At 62.6% G+C, this 14,903-nt stretch overlaps 1 protein-coding gene and 2 long non-coding RNA genes across 4 annotated transcripts in view, besides 9 other annotated features; 2 read left to right on the top strand and 1 right to left on the bottom strand.

Annotated features, from left to right (window-relative positions):
• The window catches only part of SLC9A3 (solute carrier family 9 member A3), a 53,994-nt gene extending 42,179 nt beyond the window's left edge, over positions 1 to 11,815 (top strand). The window contains exons 8-17 of one of the 2 annotated variants that reach the window (NM_001284351.3): positions 141 to 203; positions 636 to 706; positions 2,306 to 2,435; positions 4,827 to 4,939; positions 5,599 to 5,728; positions 5,893 to 6,069; positions 6,179 to 6,251; positions 6,600 to 6,710; positions 7,139 to 7,388; positions 8,889 to 11,815. In NM_001284351.3, coding sequence (NP_001271280.1) covers positions 141 to 203; positions 636 to 706; positions 2,306 to 2,435; positions 4,827 to 4,939; positions 5,599 to 5,728; positions 5,893 to 6,069; positions 6,179 to 6,251; positions 6,600 to 6,710; positions 7,139 to 7,388; positions 8,889 to 8,892 — 1,122 coding nt within the window. In that variant the 3' untranslated portion in view covers positions 8,893 to 11,815. Of the gene's footprint in view, positions 1 to 113; positions 204 to 635; positions 707 to 2,305; positions 2,436 to 4,826; positions 4,940 to 5,598; positions 5,729 to 5,892; positions 6,070 to 6,178; positions 6,252 to 6,599; positions 6,711 to 7,138; positions 7,389 to 8,888 lie in introns of both variants that reach the window. The other variant, NM_004174.4, reaches the window with a different exon arrangement.
• Positions 1,379 to 9,035, bottom strand: SLC9A3-AS1 (SLC9A3 antisense RNA 1). The gene is made up of 7 exons (NR_125375.1): positions 8,872 to 9,035; positions 6,952 to 7,134; positions 5,708 to 6,039; positions 4,935 to 5,027; positions 4,422 to 4,465; positions 2,055 to 2,489; positions 1,379 to 1,909 (listed from the first exon to the last, which is right to left on the bottom strand). It is a non-coding gene; the product is annotated as an SLC9A3 antisense RNA 1 (long non-coding RNA).
• Positions 3,938 to 4,107: an enhancer, noted in NCBI's record as "experimental_85959 CRE fragment used in MPRA reporter constructs". NCBI's record gives its function as "activates a minimal promoter by MPRAs in K562 erythroleukemia cells, with activity observed for both the introgressed and non-introgressed 5:478364 variant alleles {active_cell/tissue: K562}" and the evidence as "EXISTENCE:reporter gene assay evidence [ECO:0000049][PMID:34662402]".
• Positions 6,503 to 7,143: an enhancer, noted in NCBI's record as "H3K27ac-H3K4me1 hESC enhancer chr5:475243-475883 (GRCh37/hg19 assembly coordinates)". NCBI's record gives its function as "activates a minimal SCP1, AML or CMV promoter by ChIP-STARR-seq in naive H9 embryonic stem cells {active_cell/tissue: H9 hESC(naive)}" and the evidence as "EXISTENCE:reporter gene assay evidence [ECO:0000049][PMID:30033119]".
• Positions 8,328 to 9,147: a silencer, noted in NCBI's record as "silent region_15875". NCBI's record gives its function as "represses an Ori minimal core promoter by ATAC-STARR-seq in GM12878 lymphoblastoid cells {active_cell/tissue: GM12878}" and the evidence as "EXISTENCE:reporter gene assay evidence [ECO:0000049][PMID:35858748]".
• Positions 8,328 to 9,711: a biological region, named in NCBI's record as "H3K27ac-H3K4me1 hESC enhancer GRCh37_chr5:472675-473315".
• Positions 9,071 to 9,711: an enhancer, noted in NCBI's record as "H3K27ac-H3K4me1 hESC enhancer chr5:472675-473315 (GRCh37/hg19 assembly coordinates)". NCBI's record gives its function as "activates a minimal SCP1, AML or CMV promoter by ChIP-STARR-seq in naive H9 embryonic stem cells {active_cell/tissue: H9 hESC(naive)}" and the evidence as "EXISTENCE:reporter gene assay evidence [ECO:0000049][PMID:30033119]".
• Positions 9,268 to 9,337: a silencer, noted in NCBI's record as "silent region_15874". NCBI's record gives its function as "represses an Ori minimal core promoter by ATAC-STARR-seq in GM12878 lymphoblastoid cells {active_cell/tissue: GM12878}" and the evidence as "EXISTENCE:reporter gene assay evidence [ECO:0000049][PMID:35858748]".
• On the top strand, positions 9,306 to 11,761 carry SLC9A3-OT1 (SLC9A3 3' UTR overlapping transcript 1). The gene is made up of 2 exons (NR_024158.1): positions 9,306 to 9,592; positions 10,306 to 11,761. It is a non-coding gene; the product is annotated as an SLC9A3 3' UTR overlapping transcript 1 (long non-coding RNA).
• Positions 9,698 to 9,827: a silencer, noted in NCBI's record as "silent region_15873". NCBI's record gives its function as "represses an Ori minimal core promoter by ATAC-STARR-seq in GM12878 lymphoblastoid cells {active_cell/tissue: GM12878}" and the evidence as "EXISTENCE:reporter gene assay evidence [ECO:0000049][PMID:35858748]".
• Positions 9,698 to 10,354: a biological region, named in NCBI's record as "H3K27ac-H3K4me1 hESC enhancer GRCh37_chr5:472032-472674".
• Positions 9,712 to 10,354: an enhancer, noted in NCBI's record as "H3K27ac-H3K4me1 hESC enhancer chr5:472032-472674 (GRCh37/hg19 assembly coordinates)". NCBI's record gives its function as "activates a minimal SCP1, AML or CMV promoter by ChIP-STARR-seq in naive H9 embryonic stem cells {active_cell/tissue: H9 hESC(naive)}" and the evidence as "EXISTENCE:reporter gene assay evidence [ECO:0000049][PMID:30033119]".

Below are 14,903 nucleotides of genomic sequence, written 5' to 3'. Positions count from 1 at the left end.
CAGGGAGGGCGCCTGTGGGCCCCGGGGCAGGTGGCTCTGTGTGGTGCACCTGGCCGGGCCAGCGGGATGTGGGGGGCTGCCTGGCACCAGGGTCACGAGACCCTGTCCTCCAGGGCCTGACCATCAAGCCTCTGGTGCAGTGGCTGAAGGTGAAGAGGAGCGAGCACCGGGAACCTCGGCTCAACGAGAAGCTGCACGGGCGCGTAAGTGCGGGGCTGGGGGGCGGGGGGGGGGCACTGCGTGTTCCTCGGGGCTGGGCTGAGAGGGGAGAGGAGGCTGCGTTGGTCTGGGGCTTGGGGGGTGGCGGAGGGCACCGTGTGTTCCTTGGGGCTGGGCCAGGAGGGGAGAGGAGGCCGCCATACGTGCGGGGCTGGGGGGCGGGGGGGGGCACTGCGTGTTCCTCGGGGCTGGGCTGAGAGGGGAGAGGAGGCTGCGTTGGTCTGGGGCTTGGGGGGTGGCGGAGGGCACCGTGTGTTCCTTGGGGCTGGGCCAGGAGGGGAGAGGAGGCTGCGTCCAGGCCAGGGGCGTGGTGAGGGGGGCTGGTGGGTTCCTCGGGGCTGGGCCAGGAGTGGAGGGGCACCTCATGTTCCCCGGTTGGCCGCCCCGAGACGCTCATGTCTTTCTTCCCTTGAAAGGCTTTCGACCACATCCTCTCGGCCATCGAGGACATATCCGGACAGATCGGGCACAATTATCTCAGAGACAAGTAAGTGGCTGGGACGGCCCCGGCGGTGTCGCACAGCCCGGCTTCTGGAAACATCCTCCACTCGGAAGAACCAGAAGCCACATGCATAACAACTGTTTGAGTCCAGGCTTGGTCAGGGCTCCGGTGCCCCATGAGGCCAGGTGCCAGGTGTGCCCCGAGACACGCAGGTGCTGCGGAAAGGAGTTGGCGGCAGCAGTTGGGGCCACCGAGTGAGGGGACAGGAGCTGAATTCTCTGTGCTCCTTCCAGGGAATAGAGATGCCCTCTCATGTGGCCCAATTAATTCCAAATTGTTATGTAGGAATTGAAAATAAGGCAAATAGATTATTTCCTCCACGTCATAAACAGGGTTAGTATCAGTCAACATTTAAAATGATTTTGTCTGGCAGGGCTCAAGCCTGTAATCCCAGCACTTTGGGAGACTGAGGTGGTCAGCTCACTTGAGGTCAGGAGTTTGAGACCAGCCTAGCCAACATGGTGAAACCCCGTCTCTACTAAAAATACAAACATTAGCCAGGGGTGGTGGCGTGGGCCTGTAATCCCAGCTACTCAGGAGGCTAAGGCACAAGAATCGCTTGAACCCGGGAGGTGGAGGCTGCGGTGAGCCGAGATTGCGCCATTACATTCCAGCCTGGTGACAGAGCGAGACTTCGTCCCAAAATAAAAAAAAGAGTTTGTCCATTAAGGTGAAATCACCTATGTTTTATTATAAAAAACATGTGACACTTATAATAAACCCAGTAAGGAGCACATACAATTTGCCCTGGGTTCCCATTTTCTGAGCGATCTGTGTTTGCTTGGGGTGGAGGCACCGGGAGGTGTGGCCACGTGGCTTCATAAAGCTCAGCTGCGGTTCTCCGTGGCCACAGTGACTCTGCTCCGGGTACCCAGTCCCCGACTCCTTGGCCTCCCAGGGGCCATCCCGGGGGTCTCGGAAGGCACAGCCTCGGTTAGCTTTGACTTCTTGGTGTGGCTGAAACTCAGCCTGTACAGGAGAGCTGCCATTGCTGCCGCGGGGCCTGCCCAGGTGTGAGCACACAAGCTCACCCGGGCCCACCCTGTGCCCTGGAGGGCGGCTCTGGCGGCTGCACCCATGTCCAAGTGACAGGCATCACCTCCTTGTGCCCCAGAGTTTCCTCTAAGTCCGGCCAGGCCACCGTCCCTTCTGATCTGGATAACCAGCGAATACTCTAATTCCGTTAGGCTAAAAAAAACCTCACTCTGGTCAGCTTGGCTCCCACAAGTCTAAGGGCTCAGGGTGTCTGTCCGCCCCTGCCCTTCCTCCTGTGCACCTGAAGGTGCCCCCCATGTGGCCAAAGCCCCCTTGCCTGACCAGGCCTGACACCCACCGTGTCCTGAGCCACCCTCTGGAGGAGGCGGCATGCAGTTTCATATGCGTCTAACGGCCTCCATCCAACAGGACAGGCGGGAGAACGGCGGACGGCCTGGGCGTGTGGCAGGGGCTGCTTCCCTCATTTTAAACGCGCCTACAGGGTCACTATAGCAAACAAAATTCAGGAGAGAAGGGGCCGGGCCACGCGTCCGGCGGGCTCTAGGGCGCCTGTCACCTGAGGCTCACACCCAAGGTCTGTCCCTACAGGTGGTCCCACTTCGACAGGAAGTTCCTCAGCAGGGTCCTCATGAGACGGTCGGCCCAGAAGTCTCGAGACCGGATCCTGAATGTCTTCCACGAGCTGAACCTGAAGGATGCCATCAGCTACGTGGCTGAGGTAGCAGAGCCGCTTGCTCTGCCGGGTCGGGGCTGCAGCAGGCTCTGGCACTGGCTGTGGGTGCCATGGGGCAGTGAGGAGAGGCCCCTGCACCCGCGTCCCAAGGCCAGGCCCACCCCAGCAGTTCACGGGAGGCTGATGGGCCTTCTGATGCCCTGGGAATCCCAGGGGCTCTCGTGGGGTAAACTGAGTCACAGAGTCCTGGTGACTGTGGTGCTGGTGGGGGTGAGCGCTGAGGTCAGGTCCTAGGACCCCGAGCTCCCTTGCTTTCCCCAGGGATGGGAGCAGACGGTAAGCAGGCAGGCTGTTACGGGACCTGGTCCCAATACAGCCCTGCCTGCCCCAGCACACGCAGGTGCCCACAGGTGCACACGCACAGGCAGAGGGGCAGCAGCAGGGCCGTCTCCCGCTGTGGGCCGGCCATGGCTCTGAGGCTGCTCCAGCATCTCCCAGTCCACTATGAGCAGGCCTCTCAGCGTCTGCAGAGCCCCTGACTGCTCCAGAGACCAGAGGCCAGGCGCCCCACCCAGCCCCGAGGCCACTGCCGCCCTGGCTCCCGCACCTGCCCACTATGGCAGGTGGGCCTCAGCCTCCCCGGCCTGCCCTGACCTCCCCAGGGGCGCCCTGGCTGCAGGAAGTGTGCAAGGCAGGGCCTGGGGGCACAGCTGCAGGGATTCCGCAGCTCCTCCCTAAGGACAGAGCCCTCCCTAGCGAGCTTTGGTGCCCTCATCCAGCAGCCGGTCAGGGTGGGTGCTCTCGCCGGAGAGAAAGACCTGTCCTGCCAAACCCTGCAGACCCTCACACAGAGGGCCAGTGGGGGCCTGGAAACTCCATTCATTCAGACAGAATGATTCTGCCTCCACTGACGTGCATTCACCCCAGATGTGCCACCCGTGACTGGGGCCATGCCAAGTGGCAAGGCACCTCCTGGCAGAGGGCACGGGGGCCTGGGGCTGTCAGGAGGGCCAGCCAGTGCAGATCAGGAAGGAGGGCTCCTGGACCAGGCTCCACACAAACCCCCAAACCACAGGCCCGGCAAGCGAGAGAAAGCTCAGATACTCTGGCCCTAGGAGGCCTGGAGCCTGGCTGGAGGGTGGGAAGGGACAGTGGGGGCTCTGGCCTCTGGCGGGCTCCCCTCACCCCCACATAGGTGACAAGGTTGGCAGGCGGGCCTTGAGCCTCTCCCCCAACCACACCAGCCACCATCCTTGACCCACGACCCACGACCACAACCCTGGGCTCAGCTGCATGTGGGGAGCCTGTGGGCTCCTCCCGGCCACTCAGTAGCGGGGGTCCCCACACCTGGGGTGGCATCTGCCTGCCCAGTGTCCCTCCTGGCTCTCACCCAGGGCGGCTGCTTTCTCTCCCTGCGCCCCCCCACCCCACGGCAGGGCTCGGCAGGGGCAGGGGAAGTGGTGTGGGGAGCAGCCCCTCCGAAGACCCCACGTGCCCGGGTGCTGCACAGCCCTCGCCTGTGCCCGCCCAGAGTGGCAGTTAGCACCGTGGCTCCCCTGACCCTCACGTCTGTCTTCGTGGGGTGGCAGGAGCGGGACAAAGGTCATACAGAAGATGCTGGATTTAGAAGCAAAAGAGCAGGCGGAGGGCCCTCAGAACCAATGACCCTCAAATCCCCCCCGAGTGGGCAGTGAACTGGGGGCCGCATCTTCAGTGGGAACAGCGGCACCCACCTGACCCCGGGGGCTTCCCTGGGAGCATCCTGCACACTGAAGGCGGCACGGGTGCCCACCTGGCGAGGTCTGAGTGCAGTGAGCTGACGTTCCCTCCACACCCGTGCCCCTGCCGGCCCTGGGGACCCTGACTCCAGCCATAAGCCCACTCTGCCCTGTGCTCCTGCACAACCTCATGCTCTCCAGGCCCTGCCATCAGGCGGGTGGGGTCTGAGGACACATAGGCGGCCCCACTTCCATCCTCTGGCACTCAGCTGTGTGGCTTCTGTGCCCCATCGGGCTCTGCTCCGTTCTCTACCTGATTCAGTTCTGGACATGAGGCCAATGGAGTTTTAGGGTCTCCTGCAGGGACAGAGACCACTTCAATGATTCTGCAGTATCAACACTTTCCCCAGACACATCCCAAGTCCCAGGCAGCTTTACCCCTTCACACTCAGACCACTGTGTCCTCCCACAAGCATGACCTCTGCCCAGTTCAGGCAGCAGCCTGGCTGTGGCCTCAGACGGACAGGGGCTCAAAATCTGATCTCCTGGTTTTGGCATTTCCACCCCTCCCTCTGCAGCTGTGAGGCGTGAACCCGGGGCTCAGGTCTCAAGGCTTTCCCCGGGCCCCGAGCTCTGGGCGCTTCCCCCCAGGGCACACAATGGCAGCAGCTAGGGCTTGGCTGCTCAGGCCACTGACCGGGCTGCTTCCTGACCACAGGGAGAGCGCCGCGGGTCCCTGGCCTTCATCCGCTCCCCCAGCACCGACAACGTGGTCAACGTGGACTTCACGCCACGATCGTCCACCGTGGAGGCCTCTGTCTCCTACCTCCTGTATGTGGCCATGGTCATGCAGCTTCCCTGGGGAAGAGCCCAGCCTCGGGAGCTGAGAGTCACAGACAGGGCTGTGGTGGCTCCTGGCCTGGGGGTGGCATGGAAGAGGGGAGAGGTGCAGAAAGAGGGGGTGGGTGTCTCCTTCCACAAGCCCTCCTATATTAGGCCGTGGCCAGACTCCCTTAGTGCTGGATGGAAGGTGAAAGGGAGGGGCAGCAGCGGACTGGGGGCCAGGCCTGACGTGTTTGCCCCTGGCCCGCAGCAGCCTGTCCTGGTCCCCATGCCACCCTTACTGCTCCTCCGGCCCTGGGCTCCACAGCTCACAGCCAGTTCTCATAGGAGGTCCACTCTGCCAGATGTGCAGATGCTGGGGTCCCCGAGTCTTACAGCCAGGGCTTTGGAGAGGGACCAGTAAGGAAAGGGACCCACTTCAGACAGGAGGCCAGGAAGGCCTCGTGGGGAGTCAGCCTAAGCCCCGAGGGGAGAAGGGGCTGGCCAGATGGCAGATGTCCCCGTGCCCCAGCCGGGTGCCCACCATGGGAAGGCGAGGGGCACGCAGGAGGCAGCCAGGGCCAGATGCCCGCCGTGGGAAGGCGAGGGGCGCGCAAGAGACCCCACCCTGAGGGAGCCTGTATGGCTCAGCGCTGGTCCCCACGCAGGAGAGAAAATGTCAGCGCTGTCTGCCTGGACATGCAGTCTCTGGAGCAGCGACGGCGGAGCATCCGGGACGCGGAGGACATGGTCACGCACCACACGCTACAGCAGTACCTGTACAAGCCGCGGCAGGAGGTGGGCACTGCGGGCTGGGGGCTGGAGGACCCCGCAGGGACCCCGTGGGGCGGCTTCCTCGTCCCCTCCTGGGACCACGGGGGATCCGTGCTCAGCTCCTGCGGCAGGAGGGCGAGAATGTCCGGCGGTGGGCACAGCTGTGACCTCCGTGCCTGATCCCGCAGTACAAGCATCTGTACAGCCGACACGAGCTCACGCCCACGGAGGACGAGAAACAGGACCGGGAAATCTTCCACAGGACCATGCGGAAGCGCCTGGAGTCCTTCAAGTCGACCAAGCTGGGGCTCAACCAGAACAAGAAGGCGGCCAAGCTGTACAAGCGGGAGCGTGCCCAGAAGCGGGTAAGGCTGGGTCACCAGGAGGCTTGGCGGGGCTGGGGCCTGGAGCGGGGGCAGTCAGGGCTGGGTGTGGCTGTGTCGGGGTGTGAGCAGCTTCACGTTTGCTCCGCAGAGAAACAGCAGCATCCCCAATGGGAAGCTGCCCATGGAGAGCCCTGCGCAGAATTTCACCATCAAGGAGAAAGGTGCGCTGGGGGCCCTGCAGGAACGCTGGGACTGGGAGCCACCACCTCCCAGCCCCAGCCCTCCCGGCTCGGGAACCTCCCCTCTCAGGACCTTCCCCTCTGGGGACCCTCCAGCCACCCAGGCAGGGGAGGCATGGTCAGGGCCCCAGCTGCAGACCCACCCAGGATGGGGTTCCAGGGACACTGCCCTCTAAGTGGGGTCCCTCCTCCAGCCCTGCGGTTTAGCCCTCCTCTCTGTGGGTCCCGACTGCCTGCACCTCTGTGCACAGAGCTGATGGACACTGCTGACTGGGCTGTGAGGACAGCCCCCCAGTGACCCCAGTCCTCACCCCAACCTGTCTTCCCCAGACTTGGAACTTTCAGACACCGAGGAGCCCCCCAACTATGATGAGGAGATGAGTGGGGGGATCGAGTTCCTGGCTAGTGTCACCAAGGACACAGCGTCCGACTCCCCTGCAGGTGGGGACGGGGCACAGGCGTCGTGGCTAAGGGAGGGGTGGCTCCTGCCGCCCCAGGAGGGAGCTCGGTCATTGGACCAGGGGCACTGGGACCTGGGGGGGTGGGGTCTCCTGTGGGTTCTCAAGGGCCCTGCTTGGCACCCACTGAGTGCCCCCTCAACCAACTCGGAGGCTGCTGTCCGGGGAGACGTGGGCCGGGCAGGGAGCAGGTGGGGTATGTCTTGAGGGAAGCGAGACGTTACCTGTGCTGCCTGTGGCGTGTGGGGTCATGGATGTGGGGGAAGGGCCCGCAACCTGAAAGGCACGTGACCCTAACCTTCCCGGTGACCCTAACTTTCCAAGGCACCCAGCAGGTGACGGCCCCGGCGAGGTCTCCCCTGCCGCCGTGGGGCTCTCCGAAGGCTGACTAGCCGCTGCCCTCTCTCCTAGGAATTGACAACCCTGTGTTTTCTCCGGACGAGGCCCTGGACCGCAGCCTCCTGGCCAGGCTGCCGCCCTGGCTGTCTCCCGGGGAGACGGTGGTCCCCTCGCAGAGGGCCCGCACGCAGATTCCCTACTCTCCCGGCACCTTCTGCCGCCTGATGCCCTTCCGCCTCAGCAGCAAGTCCGTGGACTCCTTCCTGCAGGCAGACGGCCCCGAGGAGCGGCCCCCCGCCGCCCTCCCCGAGTCCACACACATGTAACGCTCCCGGGCCTCCCGCCGCCTAACCCCTCTCCGCAGCTCCTCTCCCTCCAGGTCTCCGCCTCGCGCGCGCTGTCTCTCTCCCTCCCCGCCTAACCCCTCTCCGCAGCTCCTCTCCCTCCAGGTCTCCGCCTCGCGCGCGCTGTCTCTCTCCTCCCTGGACCTGAACCTGGCTCGCTCTCTCTCTCCCCGCCTAACCCCTCTCCGCAGCTCCTCTCCCTCCAGGTCTCCGCCTCGCGCGCGCTGTCTCTCTCCTCCCTGGACCTGAACCTGGCTCTCTCCCTCCCCGCCTAACCCCTCTCCGCAGCTCCTCTCCCTCCAGGTCTCCGCCTCGCGCGCGCTGTCTCTCTCCTCCCTGGACCTGAACCTGGCTCGCTCTCTCTCTCTCCCCGCCTAACCCCTCTCCGCAGCTCCTCTCCTCCAGGTCTCCGCCTCGCGCGCGCTGTCTCTCTCCTCCCTGGACCTGAACCTGGTTCTCTCTCTCCCTCCCCGCCTAACCCCTCTCCGCAGCTCCTCTCCCTCCAGGTCTCCGCCTCGCGCGCGCTGTCTCTCTCCTCCCTGGACCTGAACCTGGCTCGCTCTCTCTCTCTCCCCGCCTAACCCCTCTCCGCAGCTCCTCTCCTCCAGGTCTCCGCCTCGCGCGCGCTGTCTCTCTCCTCCCTGGACCGGAACCTGGTTCTCTCTCTCCCTCCCCGCCTAACCCCTCTCCGCAGCTCCTCTCCCTCCAGGTCTCCGCCTCGCGCGCTCGCTCTCTCTCCTCCCTGGACCTGAACCTGGCGCGCTCTCTCTCTCCAGCAGCCCCTCTTCCTCCTCTAGCGCCCTGCTGGCCGCACCTCCCTCAGGAGCCCGGACAGAGATACTCTGGCGTCTCTGCTGCTCCCACGGAGCTGAGGGCACTAGGGCCGCCTGAGATTTCCTTTAGGTGGCTCCGAAAGCTAGTCCGCGAGTCCAAATCCTGCGCTCCCAGGGAGCTGAGAGCAGGGCTGGGGGAAGCCAGACAGACGCCCCGGGTCCCCGACCCTCTCACAGGGATACAGGGAGGGCCGGCCCCGCAGACCCGGACTCTGCCTCCAGCTCAGAGCAGGGAGAGGGGCGGGCCGTGGGGTCTGGGCTTTCTGAGCTCCCTCTGGGGGCCTGGGAGGCACCCGGGGGACGCCAGGGCGGTTTGAGATGGAGGAAGCAGGTCCCCTTGGGGACCTTGACCTCCCGCGCTGCAGGGCCTGGGGCGGGACCTTCCTGCGCCGAGGAGGCCGCTGTCCCGGGACCCCCGGCGGGGGGACGTGGCGGGGCCGGGCTGGGGCTTCGCTGTTGCTGCTTCCGCCTCTGCCCCGCGAACCCGGGTCCTGGGAGGAGGCCCCAGCGGACGCCGAGCCTGGGGTGCGCCGCGGGAGGGGAGGCGAGAGCCGCCGGGCTCGGGGACAGCTGAGGCCCCCGGGGACGCCCCTCCCGCCCCAGCGCCCGGGCTCCGCGCGCCGCTCACGCCTTCCTCTCCCGCAGGTGACACCGGCTCCGACACGCCGCTAACCGGCCGCTCGTCCCCGCGCCACGGTCCGCCCACCGCCGCCGCCGCTGTCCCAGAGAAACCCCAGATCCCCGCGCGGCTACAGCGACCGCGAGCCCCGAGCCCCGCCTCGCCCACGCCAGCGCCTGCGCAGAACTCCGAGAGTGCCGCGCCTGCGCCCGCAGAGCCGCCCGAGGGCGAGCCGGGGGCGGGGCCTGCGCCGGGGGCGGGGCCGGAGCGCCGAGGGCTGCCGAGTGCGCACGCGCGTTCGGCGGCGGCGCGCCGCGTGCACAGCCGGCGCTCGTTCCAGCGGCCTCGCGCGCGCCGCCGCCCCGCGCTGCTGAAGCTGGCGTCGCTGCCGCCCTCGTGCCACGCACCGCCGCACGCGCTGGAGCAGGAGGAGACGCCGCTGTGACGCCGCCGGCGGGAAGGGTCCGCGCGCCATGGCTGGCCGCTCGCGCCCTTTCCCACCGCTGCCGGGAAACCGAGGCTCGCCCCAAACGGATTTGCGTGAAACCAGCCCAAGGTTCCGGGCCCCCCCAACCGAGCCCCGCGCCCGGGGACTGACTCGGGGACCGACTCAGGGACCTCCCGAGCGCCAGGACTCAGGGCCCGACCTGCAGCGGCTGCAGGCCCAGCGCCCGCAAGCGGCCTGGGCCGAGCGCCGTTTCCAGGCCCTCGCCAGGTCTTTGAACTGCAGGTAAAGTGGCAGGAACGTCTTCCGTCTGCTCAGCGTTTGGGGATTTAGACTCCTAAAGCCAGTACCTGCCCCGTTTCCCCCCCAGGTTCCGTCCTGCCCGCGCCCGGTCTCAGGGTGGCGGCCCCGGACACGGCCCGTCCCCACAGACGAGGTCTCCGGCCTGAGCTGTCGCACCTGGCGCGGAGGTCGCCCGGGGTGCCCTGGCTGGGTGAGAGGTGGCCTGGCGGGCGGAGCTTGCCAAGAATCACGGCCAGTCCTTAAGTGGATGGTGGGGCCCAGCAGCTGCTCTGTCCCCCTTAACAAACCAGGGGGCATGGAGGGGCCCAGGGCACCGCCCCCCTACCAGGCTCAGGCCCTCCAAGGAGAACCTGCTGAGACCCCTGAGCCTGTCCTAGACCCCGGACCCCTGACCCTTCCCACCCCTTCCAGCGTCCCAGGGCGAGGCCTTGGACAGAGCTCCTGGTCCTCTGCAGGGAGACCATCCAGCCCAAGCTCTGGGAGGCACAGTCCATTGAGTGGGCGGAGGCCGCGGGTGCTGAGCCGGGGAGGGTGCTCGGAGTCCATCCATCCCTCAGACGGCAAGTCCCACAGGGTCCAACCCACCTGAAACCTGCCTGCACGGTGGAAGTGGTGGAGGTGGACACTCCTAGGGGCTTTTCTAAAGCTAGACTCGCAGCTCCTTGCTCAGGAAAATTAAACTATTCACGTTTCAGATCAAGTGTTGACAGTCACCAGTCAGGAGGAGTTCTTAAAGAGTTTTATGTTGACTGAATATTGCACATTGAGTCCCCATTGAGTCCCTGGTGGGAAAAGTCCACAATTTCCCATTGATAGCTTTTTACTGTTGTGAAAAAGGGAAGCGTCAGCCACACAAAAGCCTGCATGACCGCTGCTTCGGAGAAGCTCTCGACCCTAACTGCAGTCACTGTTACTTGGATCAGATCAAGCGCAGTGACTTTTTGGGATTCAGTGGTTATTCTCCACACTTCGTAGCCATTTCAACCAACTCTGAGCACAAAATGCAGCCATCCTCTATGCAGCAAGCCCTGCCCAGTCAGTGACCCTACTGGACAGATCCAAGGCCAGCCCTGGTTCCCTGCTGCAGCCACCGTCCTGACGTTCATCGGAGCAGGCCGGGGCCTGGCCTTCCCGGCACAAGTGGCTGTTCTGACAGGCCCCCAGTTTGTCCCATCTGAACTGCTGGGAGGTTTCCGGGTGGCCAGAGGAGCAAAGCTGCCTTCCAAGTGCCTGTCTGTGCCTGGGAGAACAGAGCAGGAGCGTCGTGCGGTCCACCGCGCAATGCATGGCGATTCCAGGCGCTGAACAACTCCCCTGGACCCTTGGGCCTGCATCTGACTCCCAGCTGCAGAGTCAGAAGCTGAGTCCAGGCAACTGCTTGGCCACTCCCGATCGCTCCTCCCTGGACACCCGGTTACCAAAGTCAGCAAAGAAGATGCGGTAATCGCCGCCTGATCTCCACATGGTGAACACAACACTCCCACCAACACCTCCTTGACTGGTCGGTCTTCAGCACCGGGGGTGGGCAGGCAGGTGTTCTGTGTTGACGAGAATTGCACAGGCTAAACACAAACACGGAACCAGAGTGAGAACACCTCACTCACGGCAGCCCAGGCTGCTCCCTACCAGGTGACGGAGCGCGCCGGGGCTGTGGGTGCCAGGGGCTGAGTGCTAGGGACTCGTCATGAGTGGGGATCCCCACGTTCCTGTCACTGCTGTCAAACAGAAGGTAAACAGTCTTATGAATGTATTTCCTTAGGAAAACTTGTAAAAACTTTTATTAGGATATCTATTTAATACTGAACTTTGGCCTACTTTGTGATAGACTATAAACAAATTGAGGAAATCACTATTTCTCACTTCTGTATTTTCTCAAAAATAATTTTGTTACAGAGTTCAATATACTGTGTACCATTGATCTTCTATTGTGAAAGCAAAGAATTTCATCAAAATATTTTAAATTATGAGTGAAAATTGTGTATGTTAATTTTGCAGCTATAATATTAATCAAATTTCGTGTAATTCTAATCACAAAATGACGTGCCTTAAGTGCCCCTCCAGCTGTGGGTTGGCAGTGTCCAGACAGGGAGGGCCCATCACCGAAATCCTGAACGATTACTAGACCAATTCTATTAAAAACATTTCAAGGCATTTTGGGTGCAAACTTTGTTTATAAAAGAGAAATATCCACCTATGAGAATTTAAGGAGACGTCTCCTGTAGGCAGACATCGCTCTGCCCAAAAATTAGCACTGACACATGCGTGTGTGTGCGCGTTGTGTGCGTGTGTGCGTGCACGTGCTGTTGCTGCCCTTCCTAGCTGGTGTGAGGAAGCCACTGGACACAGCTGTGGCGCGACCCCTGGATCTGAGCACAGCCCCTCCGGTGCAGACAGATGGGGTCAGAGCCCCCTGCGGAGGCCTGTCATTGCAGGCACCCGTGAGGAGGATGTGACCAGTGACCGTGGGTCCCAGCGGTGACCCTCACACAGAATCAGAGCAAAACACCAGTGAGGGCTGCACACTCACCACCATTCGCCCTGGGCACTCATTCCAGAAGTAACAAGAATTCCCTCTCAGTGGGAAAATAAATGCATTTTTCATTCTTATAAGGGACACTCTAATGACTGTGAACACTACGAATTCTAATTCATATGCATTTACTGAGCACTTACTGTATGCCAGGTGCACTCAAGACCTGCTGCTAAGTGGGAAGCTGGGTTCAGAGGCACATGGAACAGCTCGCCCGCTGGATGCCCTGGGAAGAGCTACCTCTTCTGAGCCCCTGATGCTTGTTAAGAGCTGCTTCTACTTCTCAGTTACTTCTCAAGTTTTGATTCTTTCAAGAAGTCCCATTTGTGAATTTTTCACATCTTGTGAGGATGAAATAAAAGCAAAATGTCAACTCTGCCATCTCAAAAACGTCTTGAGAGCAAAGCGTGTCCTCAGGCTGGAGTACCTGCGGCCCATGGGCAGCCATGGGAGGCCCTCACAGGAACAGATGGCCCCGCTGACACCCCCACCTCTCCCACCTGCACTGCACGGGGCCCACGGGCCAGCCTTGTGGGGTACTCACAGGAACAGATGGGTCTGCTGACACTCCCACCTCTCCCACCTGCACTGCATGGGGCCCGTGGGCCAGCCTTGTGAGGTCCTCACAGGGACAGAAGGGCCCGCTGACACCCCCGCCTCTCCCACCTGCACTGCCTGGGGCCCATGGGCCAGTCTTGTGGGGTCCTCACAGGGACAGAAGGGCCCGCTGACACCCCCACCTCGCCCATCTGCGAGTCCCTGGGGCTCTGAGACAGACAGGGATGGAGGGAACGAAGCGCTGTATACACAGGCGAGAGGAGGAATGAAGGTCAATGCCTTTCACTCACTCAACCAAATCAATACTTTTCTGTAAATTAAGAGAGCACAGGGGTCTGCCCCTCTGAGCACCAGGACCCAGGACTCCCTGCTCATCCTGGGTAATTCCCCCCTTCCTTTGAGACGGAGTCTCGCTCCGTTGCCCAGGCTGGAGTGCAGTGGTGAAATCTCGGCTCACTGCAACCTCCGCCTCCGGGGTTCAAGCAATTCTGCCTCAGCCTCCCAAGTAGCTGGAATTACAGGCATGCACCACCACACCTGGCTAATTTTTGTATTTTTAGTAGAGATGGGGTTTCACCATGTTGGCCAGGCTGGTCTTTGCAAACTCCTGATCTCAAATGATCCACCCACCTTGGCCTCCCAAAGTGTTGGGATTACAGGCGTGAGCCACTGCGCCCGGCCTCCGGGGTAATGCCTTGATTAGCTTTGGAAAAAAATTAAAGATTAACGTGCAAAATGATGCTACCATTGAAGGCAGATGCTGTAGAGAGATGGGTACATTTTAGAAAAGAGAATTTAAAGGATTCTCTATCAGGGAAAGCATGATTCGCGGGTCTTGAAGTGTACTCCAAGTAAATATTCACTTTCATATTTACTTTTACCAAAATTTACACTCCTGCCATTGCTCGTCTACCAGGTATGGCTGACTTGGCTGGCAACACCCGGTGCCAGAGGTCTGCTCACCTGGGGGTGGGGACAGGGCTTGCTGGGTGCAGCTGGTGTCTCATCTCTCAAAGGACCCAAGGAGTAACTCTGGGGATGTCAAACAGGAGGGGACCAGGAGGGCACCCTCCAGGCTGAGGGGATGTCAGACAGGAGGGGACCAGGAGGGCGCCCTCCAGGCTGAGGGGATGTCAGACAGGAGGGGACCAGGAGGGCGCCCTCCAGGCTGAGGGGATGTCAGACAGGAGGGGACCAGGAGGGCGCCCTCCAGGCTGAGGGGATGTCAGACAGGAGGGGACCAGGAGGGCGCCCTCCAGGCTGAGGGGATGTCAGATACGAGGGGACCAGGAGGGCGCCCTCCAGGCTGAGGGGATGTCAGATACGAGGGGACCAGGAGGGCGCCCTCCAGGCTGAGGGGATGTCAGATACGAGGGGACCAGGAGGGCGCCCTCCAGGCTGAGGGGATGTCAGACAGGAGGGGATCAGGAGGGCGCCCTCCAGGCTGAGGGGATGTCAGACAGGAGGGGACCAGGAGGGCGCCCTCCAGGCTGAGGGGATGTCAGATACGAGGGGACCAGGAGGGCGCCCTCCAGGCTGAGGGGATGTCAGACAGGAGGGGATCAGGAGGGCGCCCTCCAGGCTGAGGGGATGTCAGACAGGAGGGGACCAGGAGGGCGCCCTCCAGGCTGAGGGGATGTCAGATACGAGGGGACCAGGAGGGCGCCCTCCAGGCTGAGGGGATGTCAGACATGAGGGGATCAGGAGGGCGCCCTCTAGGCTGAGGGGATGTCAGACATGAGGGGACCAGGAGGGCACCCTCTAGGCTGAGGGGATGTCAGACAGGAGGGGACCAGGAGGGCGCCATCCAGGCTGAGGGGATGTCAGACATGAGGGGATCAGGAGGGCACCCTCTAGGCTGAGGGGATGTCAGACAGGAGGGGACCAGGAGGGCGCCATCCAGGCTGAGGGGATGTCAGACAGGAGGGGACCAGGAGGGCGCCCTCTAGGCTGAGGGGATGTCAGACAGGAGGGGACCAGGAGGGCGCCATCCAGGCTGAGGGGATGTCAGACAGGAGGGGACCAGGAGGGCGCCCTCCAGGCTGAGGGGATGTCAGACATGAGGGGATCAGGAAGGCACCCTCTAGGCTGAGGGGATGTCAGACAGGAGGGGACCAGGAGGGCGCCCTCTAGGCTGAGGGGATGTCAGACAGGAGGGGACCAGGAGGGCGCCCTCCAGGCTGAGCGGAGACTTTTACTCTGTGA

Source organism: Homo sapiens, chromosome 5 (genome assembly GCF_000001405.40).
Source record: "Homo sapiens chromosome 5, GRCh38.p14 Primary Assembly".
In the NCBI taxonomy this organism is placed as follows: domain Eukaryota; kingdom Metazoa; phylum Chordata; class Mammalia; order Primates; family Hominidae; genus Homo; species Homo sapiens.
Note: the sequence above shows the minus strand (reverse complement) of the source record. Positions and strands in the feature narration are given on the sequence as shown.